This window comes from Homo sapiens, chromosome 8 (assembly GCF_000001405.40).
Source record: "Homo sapiens chromosome 8, GRCh38.p14 Primary Assembly".
NCBI classification, from domain to species: domain Eukaryota; kingdom Metazoa; phylum Chordata; class Mammalia; order Primates; family Hominidae; genus Homo; species Homo sapiens.
This window is the reverse complement of record NC_000008.11, coordinates 144,195,379-144,211,164: the sequence shown is the minus strand read 5'-3', so window position 1 is coordinate 144,211,164 and position 15,786 is coordinate 144,195,379. Positions and strand designations below refer to the sequence as shown.

Sequence of the window (15,786 nt, the reverse complement as noted above, 5' to 3'; positions counted from 1 at the left end):
GCTAGAAATTCAGATGGCAGAGAAACATGTTGACTTGCACCTTGACAATGCAGTCAGCAAAACTCAACGATGAGCAAATCCACAGAATAAACAGCCAGGTTCTTCTACAGATAAATTATAAGAGAAAGAGAAGAACGGAGGGGAACCTGTAGCTTATGAGGGACTTAAATATGGGGAGTTGCTGTTTCACAGGCACGGAGTTTCAGTTTTGCAAGATGAAAAGAGTTGTGGAGGCAGATGGTGGTGACAGTTGCCTGACAATGAGAATGTACTTAACACTACTGAAGCATTTGCTTAAAAACGATTAAGATGCTAAATTTTATATTGCATGTATTTTACCACACTAAAAATAAACAAAATCACCAATGGTCAAGCCTCCAAAAAAAGACTTAAATCTATGTAAAAATATATTTATACATTATTATCTCTATATAAATTTGAATGTATATATATATAGAGAGATAGAGAGAGAGAGAGAGACAGAGTCTCCATCTGTCACCCAGGCTGGAGTGCAGTGGCACGATCTTGGCTCACTGCAACCTCTGCCACCTGGGCTCAAGCGATTCTCATGTCTTAGCCTCCTGAGTAGCTGGGACAGGTGTGCGCCACTATACCCAGCTAATTTTTGCATTTTTAGTAGAGATGGGGTTTCATCATGTTGCCCAGGCTGGTTTCGAACTCCTGGCCTCAAGTAATCTGCCTGCCTTGGCCTCCCAAAGTGCTGGGATTACAGGTGTGAGCCACCGCACAGGGCCTGTTTATGCAGTGGCGTAATCTCGGCTCACTGCAACCTCCCCCTCCCAGGTTCAAGCAATTCTCCTGCCTCAGCCTCCCAAGTAGCTGGGATTACAGGCACCTGCCACCACGCTGGCTAATTTTTGTATTTTTAGTAGAGACAGGGTTTCCCTGTATTGGCCAGGCTGGTCTCAAATTCCTGACCTCAAGTGATCCGCCCCTCTCAGGCTCCCAAAATGCTAGGATTACAGGTGTGAGCCACCGCACCCGGCCATAGGTAGGCTTTTAAAGTGGACACAGCTAATCATAAGGGAGTGATTACTATAAAAATCAGGATAGCTGTTACTTGTTGGGGAGTGAAGAACTGTGACTGGAATAGGATGCAAGGAGGGGCGTCTCGGTGGCAACTTCAGTCCAAAAGACCTGGTGGTAGATCTGATGTTGTTGTCTTAGAATGATATGTAATAAGTCACACATTTGTTTTATGTGGTTTCTACATTTCCTTCCCTTTTTTTTTTTTTTTTGAGACAGGGTCTCACTCTGTAGCCAAGGCTGAAATGCAGTGGCACCGTCACAGCTCACTGCAGCCTCGACCTCCTGGGCTCAGGTGATCCTCTCACCTCAGTCCCCAGAGTAGCTGGGACTACAGATGCATGCTACCACACCTGGCTTTTTTTATTTTTAGTAGAGACAGGGTTTCACCATGTTTTTCAGCCTAGTCTGAAGCTCCTAGGATAAAGCGATCTGCTTGCTACGGGATCCCAAAGTGCTAGGATTACAGGTGTGAGCCACTGTGCCCTTCCATGATTTCTTTTATACTAACGATTTTTCTTTTTTCTTTTTTTTTTTTTGAGACGGAGTCTCACTCTGTCGCCCAGGCTGGAGTGCAGTGGCACCATCTCAGCTCACTGCAAGCTCTGCCTCCTGGGTTCACACCATTCTCTGCCTCAGCCTCCCAAGTAGCTGGAACTACAGGCGCCCGCCACCACGCCCAGCTAATTTTTTGTATTTTTTGTAGAGACGGGGTTTCACTGTGTTAGCCAGGATGATCTCAATCTCCTAACCTCGTGATCCGCCTGCCTCAGCCTCCCAAAGTGCCGGGATTACAGGCGTTTGAGCCACCGTGCCCGGCCTATACTAACGATTTTTCAATGGGGATGAACAATCTTGAAGAAGAATAAAGTTGAAGGACATCCTCTACCAGATTTAAAGCCTTAGGATAAAACTAAAACAACTGAGAAACTGTGATATTGGCCTATAATCCCAGCACTTTGGGAGGCTGAGGCGGGCAGATCACTTGAGTCCAGGAGTTTGAGACCAGCCTGACTAACATGGCGAAACTCCGTCTCCACTAAACACACACACACACACACACACACACACACACACACACACACACACAAAATGGCCGAGTGCATTGGCTCATGCCTGTAATGCCAGCACTTTGGGAGGCTGAGGCAGGTGGATCACCTGAGATCAGGAGTTCAAGACCAGCCTGGCCAACACAGTGAAACCCTGTCTCTACTAAAAACACAAAAATTAGCCGGATGTGGTGGTGCATGCCTGTAATCCCAGCTACTCAGGAGCCTGAGGCAGGAGAATCGCTTGAACCCAAGAGACAGAGGCTGCAGTAAGCCAAGGTCGCGCCACTGTACTCCAGCCTGGGTGACACAGTGAGACTTTGTCTCAAAAAAGAAAAAAGAAAAAAAAAAGTGTGATATTGGTGTAAGGAAAGAATAGAGTCCTGAAATATACCCACTAACATATGATGCTATAAGTTGAATTGTGGCCTCAAAATTCGTATGTGCAAATCCCAACCCCTGTACCTCGGAATGTGACCTTATTTGGAAATAGTTACTGCAGAATTAATAAGTTGAGAGGGGGTCACACTGGAGTAGGGTGGGCCCTTCATCCAATATGGCTGGTACCCTTATAAAAGGGGGATATAGGGATACAGACAGGCACACAGGAAAAATGCACATGAAGATAAAACAGAGATCAGGGTAATAGAAAAAAAAAAAACCCCACCCACCAGTCGGTGGTACTTTGTTACTGCAGCTGTTACATTAATACATAAGGTTACCTGACCTTGTACCAAGGCACAGAAGCAATTCAATGGAGAAAGTAAAGTCTTTTCAACAAGTGAGACTGGAACAACTGGACATCCATATAAAAATAACCTTGCAGGCCGGGTGTGGTGGCTCACGCCTGTAATCCCAACATTTTGGGAGGCCGAGGCGGGCGGATCACCTGAGGTCAGGAGTTTGAGACCAGCCTGATCAACATGGCAAAATCCTGTCTCTACTAAAAATACAAAATTAGCCGGTGTGATGGCATGTGCCTGTAATCCCAGATACTCGGGAGGCTGAGGCAGGAGAATCACTTGAACCTGGGAGGTGGAGGCTTCAGCGAGCTGAGATCGCACCACTGCACTCCAGCCTGGGCAACAACAGCAAAACTCTGTCTCAAAAAAAAAAAAAAAAGTAATTAAAAAAAAACACACCTTGCCCCCTACATTTCACTCACACCCAAACATTAGTAAAAGATGAATCACAGACATAAATTTGCAAGCTCAAACAATAAAGCATCTAAAAGAAAATATAGAAGAATATCTTCATGACTTCTGAGCAGGCAAAGGTTTCTTAGACATAAAGGTACTAATCATAAAAACATATATTTATGTCTCTATGTATCCAATAAAGAACACTACAAAATAATCATAATAAAACGACAAACAACCCAGTTGTTAAATGAACAACAGCTGGGCATGGTAGTGCACTCCTGTAACCCAGGCTACTCTGGAGGCTGGGGCAGAAGGATCGCTTGAGCCCAGGAGGCCGAGGATGTGGTAAGCTATGATCACAGAACTGCACTCTAGCCTGGGTAACGTAGTGAGACCCTCTCTCTATAAATCAATCAAAATGGGCAAAAGACCTGAACAGGGGTCGGGCGTGGTGGCTCACGCCTGTAAATCCCAGCACTTTGGGAGGCCAAGGTGGGTAGATCACGAGGTCAGAAGATCAAGACCATCCTGGCCAACATGGTGAAACCCTGTCTCTACTAAAAATACAAAAATTAGCTGGGCATGGTGGTGAGCGCCTGTAGTCCTAGCTACTTGGGAGGCTGAGGCAGGAGAATTGCTTGAACCCAGGAGGCGGAGGTTGCAGTGAGCCAAGATCGCACCACTGCACTCCGGCTTGGTGACAGAGCACGACTCCATCTCAAAAAAACAACAACTGGCCCCCCACCCCCCAAAAAAAAGACTTGAAAAGGAACTTCAACATATATACGCAAATATATCTGAAGGTCAATAAGCATATGAAAAGGTGCTTCATCAATTTACTCACCAGGGAACTTCCATTTTTTTTTTTAAATTTCTTTTCTCTCTCTTTTAATTGAGACAGAATCTCGCTCTGTCGCCCAGGCTGGAGCGCAGTGATGCAATCTTGGCTCACTGCAACCTCTGCCGCCCGGGTTCAAGCAATTCTCCTGCCTCAGCCTCCAGAGTAGCTGGAACTACAGGCGTGTGCCACCACACCTGGCATTTTTTTGTATTTTTAGTAGAGAGAGGGTTTCACCATGTTGGCCAGGCTAGTCTCAAACTCCTGACCTCAGGTGATCCACCTGCCTCGGCCTCGCAAAGTTCTGGGATTACAGGCGTGAGCCACCGTGTCTGGCAAAGAGGACAATTTAAAATGAGAAAAAAGGCCAGGCACGGTGGCTCATGCCTATAATCCCAGCACTTTGGGAGACCGAGGCGGGTGGATCACCTGAGGTCCAGGAGTTCGAGACCAGCCTGGCCAACATGGCGAAACCCCATCTCTATTAAAAATACAAAAATTAGCCGGGTGTGGTGGTGTTCGCCTGTAATCCCAGCTACTCAGGAAGCTGAGGCAGGAGAATCGCTTGAACCCGGGAGGTGGAGGTTGCAGTGAGCCGAGATCGTGCCACTACCTTCCAGCCTGGGCAACAAGAGCGAAACTATGTCTCAAAAAAAAAAAAAAGAACATGAACAACCCAAGTGTCTGTTAACAGGAAAACAAATAACTTTTAAATTCAGAAAATGTAACAGAATACAACTTAGCAGTAAAGAAGAGTGCACTGACAGCAGCACCGTGCTCAGTGAATGCCTACGCTCACGAAGGGTCCTCCTACAACTAGCCCATCTACATGGAACTCAACAGCAGGCAGAATTAATTATGGTGACAGAAGTCATAACGGTGGGCCGGGTACACTCCTGCAGTCCCAGCCACTCAGGAGGCCGAGGCAGGAAGATCCCTTGAACCCGTGAGGTCAAGGCTGCAGTGAGCTGTGATCGTGCCACCGCACTCCAGCCTGGGCGACAGAGCACAAGCCTGCGCTGTGACCTCATAAAAGAGGTCACTTCTTAACAGTAGGTGTAGGTGTTAGCTGAAAATAAATACAAGCAAAACTTTTTGGGTTTTAGAAAAATGTTCCACATTTTGATTTGAGTGGTAGTCATATGGGTGAACAATGTGTAAAATGTCACCAAGTATACAGTTAAGATTTATGCATTTTACTGCATTTCTATTGAAGATTATGTTCAATTTTAGAAAATAAAATTCTGGAAGAAAATATGACTGGAGGCCAAAAGCCTTTCAAAAATTTGATTTATAAAAGTATCTAAGATAGGCAACAATGACACAACACACATGTAACAGGGAATCCCAGAGAAGGCTTCCGAAGTCATGGGGTACTGAAATGCTATGACTGAAAAACAAGGTCTCTTGAGATAAAACAGAATTGACGCAAATGCTGAATGCGCACTCTATGGACCTGGGGGGGAAATCAACTCAGAATAGCCAACACTGAGACACAGTAAAATTTCCGGTTTTAAGATATAAAACAGCCTGTAATCCTGGCATGCATGCGTGTGTGTGTGTGTGTGTGTCTATATATATGCAAAGGATTTATATATATATAAAAATCCTTTGGGCATCTAGGCAGAAAAGACCAAATCATATATAAGGAAAATCCCAGTCAAATCAGATAGTCATCAATGAGTTATCAATAGCAGTAACAGATTCTAGAAGACAAGAAAGCAACATATTAAGATACCTCAGACTTTTATACCCAGCCACTTAAACTGAGATGGCCTGGTGTCTAACACAAGAAACAGCTCTCTGGACCATGGACTGAAAGAATGACATGCAGGGACCAACCACGGCCTCAACTTGCAATCATGTTCCAATATTTTCATTGAAAACTTGATGACTTCTGGCTGGGTGCAATGGCTCACGCCTGTAATCCCAGTACTTTGGGAGGCCAAGGTGGGAGGATTGCTTGAGCCCAGGAGTTGGAGACCAGCCTGGGCAACAAAGCAGGACCTCATAACATACCCACAAAAATGGCTAAAATTAAAGACCAACCAATGTTGGTGAGGACATGAAGCAATAATGCTCATAAGCCACTTGTGAGACATAAGGTGTGGGGTATAAATTGGGGTATAAACAGCTACTTTGGAAAAACAGAAGGGTTTATCTATGCAACTTGAACACATACATACTTTATAACCCAAAATTCTACATCTAGGTAAACACTAACTGTGTAAAGGACAAATGTTAATAGTGGCTTATGCATTAACAGTTAAATACTGGATATAGCCATTTACCCATCACAGGCAAAATGAATCACTGTAGTAGATAATTCACTGGAATCCTTCACGGGAGTGAAAATAAATAAGCTGTACTATATGTATAAATTTCACCAAGAGAATACTGAGGAAAAGAAGCCAGATACAAAATTATTTACACCATACAATTCTCTTTGTACAACATCCTGAAACAGCAACACTATCTTCTATTGTTAGAAGTCACCCCTTCTGAGGGACTTGAGAGTGCCACCCCTGGGTGTTGTCAATGTCCCATTTCTTCACCTGGTTGGTGAATAAATACATAGGCTTACTGTGTGATTATTCATGAAGCTGAACAGTTAACGTGTACATTTTTCTGTATGTGTATTATACTTCAAATAAAAACAATTAAAAATGACATAGACGGCATAGATGCCCATCTCACTTCTGTAATCCCAGCACTTTGGGAGGCCAAGGAAAGAGGATCACTTGAACCCAGGAGTTTGAGACCAGCCTGGGCAACATAAGTAGACCCCATTTCTACAAAAATACAAAAAAACTGGCAGAGTGTGGTGGTGCACACCCGCAGTCCCAGCTGCTTGGGAGGCTGAGGTGGGAGAATTGCTTGAGCACAGGAGCTCAAGGCTACAGTAAGCTATGACTGCACCACTGCATTCCAACCTGGGTGAAAGAACGAGACCCTGTCTCAAAACAAAACAAAAAATGACACAGATGTATATGTGCTGATGTTAAAAGTTCTCTAAGATATACTAGCAAGTGAAAAAAGCATGTTTTGAAGTATGTCATTTGGTTAAAATATTTCCTTGCGTACATGCATTTGTACATACGTAAATGCACAGAGAAAGAACTTCAAGGAAAATGAAATATGGGGAAAACAAAGTGAACGCTGAAAAGCATAAATGTGATTGATGAATTAACAAAGGGAAGTTGAGCATGGTTAATCCCATGAAATGTTGAACTTCTGAATGGAAAAACCCATCTCTAACAAGAGCATGGGCACTAAGAATTCCACTTCAGATGCCAACCTCATCAGGTAAATGGGGAGAAGAGCACCTGCCTCAAGGGTTACTTCTACCACCAGAGGCTGAGTGCATGCTGCTGACGCAGATGCTTTACTTTCTGTGGGGCTGCCACACGCCCCATGCCTCTGAGGCTCCCTTCCCCAAGGACCACTGACCAGAGCAGCCCCTCTGTGTGGAAGCTGCAGGCGCTCTCCTCTCAGGCCCTCCACAGAGAGCCTGCGCTTCTCTCTCTTCCCCTCCAGAGAGCGGGCGCTCCTCTCCGGGCCACTCCACAGAGAGCAGGCACTCCCCTCCCAACCCCTCAACAGATAGCCTGCGCTTCCCTCCCTTCCCCTCCAGAGGGGGCGCTCCCCTCCCAACCCCTCCACAGAGAGCTGACGCTCCTCTCCAGGACCCTCTACAGAGTACTCCACACAGAGCGAGCGCTCCCCTCCCCGCCCCTCCACAGAGAGCCGGCGCTCCCCTCCCAGCCCCTCCACAGAGAGCCCGCGCTTCCTTCCCAGCCCCTCCACAGACAGCGGGCGCTCCCCCCCCCCGCCCCTCCACAGACAGCGGGCGCTCCCCCCCCCGCCCCTCCACAGACAGCGGGCGCTCCCCCCCCCGCCCCTCCACAGACAGCGGGCGCTCCCCCCCCCCCGCCCCTCCACAGACAGCGGGCGCTCCCCTCCCCCGCCCCTCCACAGACAGCGGGCGCTCCCCCCCCCCGCCCCCCCTCCACAGACAGCGGGCGCTCCCCCCCCCGCCCCTCCACAGACAGCGGGCGCTCCCCCCCCCGCCCCTCCACAGACAGCGGGCGCTCCCCCCCCCCGCCCCTCCACAGACAGCGGGCGCTCCCCTCCCCGCCCCTCTACAGAGAGCGGGCGCTCCTCTCCCAGCCCCTCCACAGAGAGCCCGCGCTTCCTTCCCTGCCCCTCCACAGACATTGGGCGCTCCCCCCCCCGCCCCTCCACAGAGAGCGGGTGCCCCCCCCCGCCCCTCCACAGAGAGCCTGCGCTTCCCTCCCAGCCCCTCCACAGACAGCGGGTGCTCCTCTCCCAACCCCTCCGCAGATGGCGGGCGCTCCTCTCCAGGCTCCTCCACAGAAAGGACGCTCCCCTCCCAACCCCTCCACAGAGAGCGGGTGCTCCCCCTCCCCGCCTCTCCACAGAGAGCCTGCGCTCCCCTCCCCACCCCTCCACAGAGAGCCTGCGCTTCCCTCCTTTCCCCCCCACAGAGGGGGCGCTTCCCTCCCTGCCCCTCCATACAGAGCGGGGCGCTGCCCTCCCAACCCCTCCACAGAGAGCCCGTTCTCCCTTCCCTTCCTCTCCACAGAGAGCCTGCGCTTCCCTCTCTTCCCCTCCACAGAGGGGGCGCTTCCCTCCCAACCCCTCCACACAGAGCTGGTGCTCCCTTCCTTTCCCCTCCACAGAGAGCCTGCGCTTCCCTCCTTTCCCCTCCACAGAGGGGACACTTCCCTCCCTGCCCCTCCACACAGAGCGGGTCGCTGCCTTCCCAACCCCTCCACAGAGAGCGGGCTCTCCCCTCCCCGCCCCTCCACAGACAGCAGGCTCTCCCCCCGCCAGCCTCCAGACAGCCCACCACAGCACCACCCTGGGCTCTGAAATCTGGGCACGCCCAAAGCAGCAGGACTTCAGGCTGCTTCTGCTGGGGCAAGGGCCGCTGAAGGTGTCCTGAGGTGCCTACACCTGACTCTTAACCTGGTGACTTTCGCACTGTGGCCCCGTCTGCCCCGTCCTCCCTTGGCCCTGCTGCTTTCTCTTTTTTTTTTTTTTTTTGGAGACGGAGTCTCACTCTGTTGTCCAGGCTTGAGTGCGGTTTAGCCATCTCAGCTCACTGCAACCTCAGCCTTCTGAGTTTAAGCAATTCTGCCTCAGCCTCCCAAGTAGCTTGGATTACAGGCGCCCGCCACCACGCCAGGCTAATTTTTTTTAATATATATTTTTAGTAGAGACGGGGTTTCACCATGTTGGCCAGCCTGGTCTTGAACTCCTGACTTCAAGTGATCTGCCCGCCATGGCCTCCCAAAGTGCTGGGATTACAGGCGTGAGCCACTGCCCGGCCGGCCCTGCTGCTTTGTCACGCTGCTTCTATATGTCCCAGAACTCTATGTGACTCTCTGGGTGGCTGCTCTTTGCAACCCAGCAGCTGACTGGTAGTGAACCTCAGTACAGGGGGCAGTGCGCCGCTTCTGAAAGGGCAGACAGAAAATATTTTAGGCTTTGTGGGTCACATGTGGTCCCTTTGTTTGCTTTTATAACCCATTAAAGATGTAACAACCTCCCTAGCTCATAGGATGAGCATGGGCAGGCTGCAGGGCCGGTGGGCCATGGCCACTGTGCACTGACCTGCGGAAGAGCCACGCTGGAAACCACAAGCTCACTTGTGAAAAATGGTATGTTTTCAGGCTTATCACTAATCACTTCAATTAGCCTTAAGGATGGGTGCGGTGGCTCACGCCTGTAATCCCAGCACTTTGGAAGGCCGAGGTGGGTGGATCAGGAGGTCAGGAGATTGAGACCATCCTGGCCGACATGGTGAAACCCTGTCTCTACTAAAAAAAAATACAAAAGTTAGCTGGGCCTGGTGGCGCGCCCCTGTAGTTCCAGCTACTCGGGAGGCTGAGGCTGGAGAATGGTGTGAACCCGGGAGGTGGAGGTTGCAGGGAGCCGAGATTGCGCCACTGCACTCCAGCCTGGCGACAGAGCAAGACCACTAAAAAAAAAAAAAATTAGCCTTAAAACAAGGAAACGTGAATTTTTTTAGTCTAATTGCGAAGAAACCGTCACACATATGTAAATTGAGGGACATTCTACGAAACAATTGGTCTCCTCATCTCTTAAAAAGAGTAAAAAGGCTCCTCTTGGGCAAACAAGTCTAAGAGACAACCAAACTAAACCAAAGTGTGTCTTTGAATAGATCCCAGAATGAGCTAGAGCAGTGGGCTCAGGGATGGCTGTCTTAGGCTCTGGGAACCCTCAGAGGCATGGTCACCTGGGGAGTGTGGCCACGCATGGTGTCTGCAGCCAGCTGTCAAAGCAAGTGTGAGCCACCATCATATGGCGAAGGGTAGAAAGGTACCACCCTTGCAACTTTTCAAAAAGTTTAGAATTTTGCAAAATAGTAAGTAGGGAAATCTTTCTAGAGAATTCAAAGCAGGATGGTGCTTTCACTTAGAGGGACACAATCTGCCAGGACCTGCTCCATCCTGGACATGGCCAGGGGTGGCGGCCAGGCTAGCATGGAGGCACTCACCAGCTGAGTTGATGACATGTCTGACCACCTGCAGGGTGCCCACGCGGGTCCTCTCATTGCTGGTGTCCAGCCTGGGCAGCAGGAAGGCCAGTAGGCGGTCAGGCGAGCTGCAGGCTACAGGGCAACGGGTACAGATTAGGCTCCATGTCATCTTGTTCATCCCTATACACAGCGTCCACCTACTCTCCAGCACAGGGGAGGAGCCAGAGGAGAGTTGCTGTGTGAAGGTGAGAAGCTGGGGTCACCTAATCGCTGGGCCTGGCTCCGATGCCCCTGTCTAAGGCAGGGTTGGAGCACATGTAGCCCTTATCCCACGGCGCCAGCACCACCCGAGCATGCCGGGACTTAGATCTTGGCCAACCCAGCACACCGGTGCTTGTTTCAGCATCTCCAGCTCACAAGGGGGCCCACAAGAGGGCCATCAGTAGCCCCTCTTGACTCTCTTGGCTCTAGGCCAGTCTAAGGCTCAAGGGGACTCGAGCTGTCAAGCACACAGACCCCCAGCCCAAGCAGGGCTAATGCAGCCCAAGCTCCAGGAGCCCTCTGGCAACGACTGCAGCAGTTCCCTTACCAGTACTTCACGGACCAGAGCCATCCCCATTCCAGGTGGGCTCTGGAGGCCTGCTCTGCCTGGGTATCAGACCTGTGATCCATCTGCCCACCACAACCCTGCCCCCAGCCTGGCTGCAGTCAGTCTCCCCACACCCCTCCTGCGGATCTTGTGTAAGGGTAGATGCTCATGTAGGTGGGGGGCCTGAGGCCCCGCCTGCCTGACCAGCTCCAGGGAGATGTTGATGCTGTGGCCCCAGCAGGGTGACAGCCCCAAGTGCAAGCAGGACCCCTCCTCACACCATCTGCTGCCCCTCCAGGATGGCTATGAGGGCCTGTGCAGGGCATAGGGACAGCATCCAGTGGGGGTGGTGACAGGATGCATGGCACCTCCAGGTGGGTCATGGGAGGCTGGCAGGTGACCAGGGCTAGCAGCCACAGGCCCCCTGGGGGAGCAGAGAGCAGGCCATGGAGCCAGAGATTGGGTGTGGAGAAACAGGTAGGCGGGGGGCAGGTAGGGAATGTGCAGACTGGACGGTGAGTGGAGGCCCCCAAGGATTTGGGCAGGTCAGCAGCACGCTCCTCGGAGGTGAACAACGTTCCAGGCTGCAGCCACTGCCCAGGCCCTGGTTCAGAGGCCTCTGGAGCCACAGGTAGGCCCAGGAGAGGTGGAAACAGGGGCCTCCTCATCCCCGACCAGTACCCCAGCCACCACCATCCTCCACATACAGCAGGCAGTGACCCTGTGAGTGTCCACAGATGCCCATGGGCAAAGCTGGGCCCACCACTCACCCAGCACAGTGAAGCAGCGCAGCACCTCCTTCTGGTTACTCATCACCAGGGGGCTTGAGGACTCCACAGGCACACAGATCTGCTCCAGGAACGGGGCCGAGGTTATAGACCAGAGAGGCCAGAAGGAAGGATTCCCGCCCTCTGACAATTCTGGGCCTGGGCAGCTGGGCAGAAGGCTCTGGGTTTCCACCCCATGCCTACAGCATGCAGCGGGCGCTCCAGGCTCTTTCTCACCCAAGCCCTGGATGCAGGACAGTCTCATCCCCTGTAATCAGAGGCCCTCCAGGGACCAGCCCCATCTCCTTACGGTGGGGGAGAGGAGGGAGACAGGCAGCAACAGGCAGACACACAGCTACTGTCAAGTCTCCAGGGACACATCCTGCTCCTGCCACCTTCCACCTCTCCTACCAGCAGCAGGAAAAGAGATTCCCAAGAAATATTTCTTGACTAAAGAGGAGAGTCTCCCATGCCCCAGGCATGAGGCCCAGGACCCAGGCTGGAAAGCATGAATCTCTAGGACACATAAAGTACTGGAACCCAAAACTTCTGGAGTCCACTTGTTCAAAGTTATAAGGAAAAAAAAAGTCTTATTGGTAAAAAGCAAAAACTAAGGCTGTTGGCTGGGCATGGTGGTGCATGCCTGTGGTCCCAGCTACTCAGGAGGCTGAAGTGAGAGGACTGCCTGAGCCCGGGAGGTTGAGGCTACAGTGAGCTGTAATGGTGCCACCGCACTCCAGCCTGAGTACAGAGCAAGACCCTGTCTCAAACAAATGAACAAACAACAATAAAAAACTAAGGATGCTGGCAGATGCATCTCTGGGCTCCATGGTACCTTAGTGGGTGATACAGAAGCACACCCCCACTAATTCAGGTGTGACATCCTAGGTCCCCACTCGCAGGTGTCACAGCAAAGGGCACTGACAGGGTCTCTCTGCACAAAGAGCTCCAAAGCAATTCTTCAGCAGAGCCCTCTTATGAGCCAGAAGAGGTAACCACAGCAAAGGCCCCAGGCCCACAGGGCCACACCCCAACCTGGGTTCCTAGAGAACTGTCAGAAATCACTGCGAGGTGGAGGAGCTGGCCCCAGGGCTCGGCTCTACGTTCCCAGGTAGCTCCTTGTTATTTATTTTTCTTTCTTTTTTTTTTTTTTTTTGAAACAGTTTTGCTCTTGTTGCCCAGGCTGGAGTGCAATGGCGTGACCTTGGCTCACTGCAACCTCCGCCTCCCGGGTTCAAGCAATTCTCAGCCTCAGGTGTGTGCCACCACACCTGGCTAATTTTTGTATTTTTAATAGAGACAGGGTTTCTCCATGTTGGTCTGGATGGTCTCTAACTCCTGACCTCAGGTGATCCGCCCGCCTCGGCCTCCCAAAGTGCTGGGATTACAGGCGTGAGTCACCGCCCCCGGTGTGCTCCTTGTTATTTCTACTGTAAAGACCAAATATGATCATAAAAGATGCTGCAGTTGGCTGGGTGCAGTGGCTCACGCCTGTAATCCCAGCACTTTGGGAGGCCGAGGTGGGCGGATCCCAAGGTCAAGAGATGGAGACCGTCCTGGCTAACACGGTGAAACCCCATCTCTAGTAAAAATACAAAAAATTAGCCAGGCGTGGTTGCAGGCGCCTGTAGTCCCAGCTACTCGGGAGGCTGAGGCAGGAGAATGGCGTGAACCGGGGAGGCAGAGCTTGCAGTGAGCCAAGATCGCGCCACTGCACTCCAGCCTGGGTGACAGAGCAAGATTCCGTCTCAAAAAAAAAAAAAAAAAAAAAAAAAAAAAAAAAAAAGATGCTGCAGCTTCCTGCCCACTCTTTCAGATCACTCACCCTGCAGGAAGCTAGCCACCATGTTGTGGGGACACTCAAGCGGCCTTATGGAGAGATCAATGTGGTGAGGAACTGGGGCCTCCAGCCAACAGCCACATGAATGAACAGCCTTGGAAGCAGATCCTCCAACCCCAGTAGAGCCTTCAGATGGCACGGCCCAGGCAGACCGCATGAATGGGTGTAAACTAACAAGGGACCCTGAGTTGGAGCGACCCCCTGAGCTGCTCTCACCTTCTGGACCCACTGTGAGATAACAGATGTTGTTGTTGTTGTTGTTGTTTTTTGAGACAGAGTCTTGCTCTGTTTCCCAGGCTGGAGTGCAATGGCGCGATCTCGGCTCACTGCAACCTCCGCCTCCTGGGTTCAAGTGATTCTCCTGCCTCAGCCTCCTGAGTAAGCTGGGATTACAAGTGTGTGCCACCACGCCTGGCTAATATTTGTATTTTTGGTAGAGACAGGGTTTCACCATGTTGGTCAGGCTGGTCTTGAACTCCTGACCTCGTGGTCCACCGCCTCGGTCTCCCAAAGTGCTGGGATTACAGGCATGAGCCACCGCACCGGCCTAGATGTTGTTGTTTTAAGGTGGTAAGTTTTGTGGTAATTGGTTACACAGCAATATATAACTAATGCAAATGAGTATTCATCTGGAAAAAAGATACAGTTGGATTCTCATTCCTTCCCTAAAATAAATCCCAGACAGATTAAATAATAAAAGCATAGGGGGCTGGGCACAGAGGCTCATGCCTGTAATCCCAGCACTTTGGGAGGCCAAGGTGGGTAGATCACTTGAGGTCAGGAGTTCAAGACCAGCCTGGCCAAAATAGTGAAACCCTGTCTCTATTAAAAATACAAAAATTAGCTGGGCATCATAGCATGCGCCTGTAATCCCAGCTACTCGGGAGGCTGAGGCAGGAGAATGACTTGAACCTGGGAGGCAGAGGTTGCAGTGAGTCAAGATCGCACCACTGCACTCCAGCCTGGGCAACAGAGTGAAAGACTCTGTCTCAATAATAATAATAATAACAAAAGCGTAGGGGAAATTGGGAGAACTGAGAAAACAAAAATTACTGAATTTTTTTTTTTTTTTTGGAGACGGAATCTCACTCTGTCACCCGGGCTGGAATGAGGTGGCGCAATCTCGGCTCAATGCAACCTCCGCCTCCCGGGTTCAAGCAATTCTCCTGCCTCAGCCTCCCGAGTAGTTGGGATTACAGGCACCCGCCACCACGCCCAGCTAATTTTTTGTATTTTCAGTAGAGACAGGGTTTCACTATGTTGGCCAGGCTGGTCTCAAACTCCTGACCTCGTGATTTGCCCGCCTCGGCCTCCCAAAGTGCTGGGATTACAGGCGTGAGCCACTGTGCCCGGCCACTAATCACTGAATTTGAAAGGGTTTTCTATGCATAACAAAACCTGAACTATAACATAAAAGATGGATAAATGATAATGTAAAAATTAAACAACTTTGTATGGCCAAAAAATATCATAAACAGAGTTAAAAGATAAAGGACAAAGTAGCATGATTTGTGGTCCCAGCTACTGGGGTTTGGGGAGGGGATGAGGCAGGAGGATCGCTTGAGCCTGGGAGGCCGAGGCTGCAGTGAGCTGTTACTGCCACTGCACTCCAGCCTGTGTGACAAAGCGAGACCCTGTCTCAAGAATGAATTAATGACTCAATGACAAAGTAGGAACAAATATTTTTACATATATAATACAAGGTTATAAATAACTGCTATAGGCCAGGTGCAGTGGCTCACATCTGTAATCTCAATACTTTGGGAGGCTGAGACAAGAGGATCACCTGAAGCCAGGAGTTGGAGACCAGCCTGGGCAACAGAGTGAGACTCTGTTTCTTTTTTTTTTTTTTTTTTTTTTTTGAGACAGAGTCTCACTCTGTTGCCCAGGCTGGAGTGCAGTGGCGTGATCTCAGCTCACTGCAAGCTCTCCCTCCAGGGTTCATGCCATTCTCCTGCCTCAGCCTCCCGAGTAGCTGGGACTAC

General features: G+C 50.7%; 1 protein-coding gene across 44 annotated transcripts in view; it reads right to left on the bottom strand.

Moving 5' to 3' along the window:
* MROH1 (maestro heat like repeat family member 1) overlaps nucleotides 1–15,786 on the bottom strand; it is a 113,911-nt gene that overhangs the window by 50,762 nt on the left and 47,363 nt on the right. For all 44 annotated transcript variants that reach the window (XM_047422170.1, NM_032450.3, XM_047422189.1 and 41 more), the window contains 2 exons: nucleotides 11,965–12,043; nucleotides 10,624–10,737 (listed from right to left, as the gene is read on the bottom strand). In XM_047422170.1, coding sequence (XP_047278126.1) covers nucleotides 10,624–10,737; nucleotides 11,965–12,043 — 193 coding nt within the window. The remainder of the gene's footprint in view (nucleotides 1–10,623; nucleotides 10,738–11,964; nucleotides 12,044–15,786) is intronic.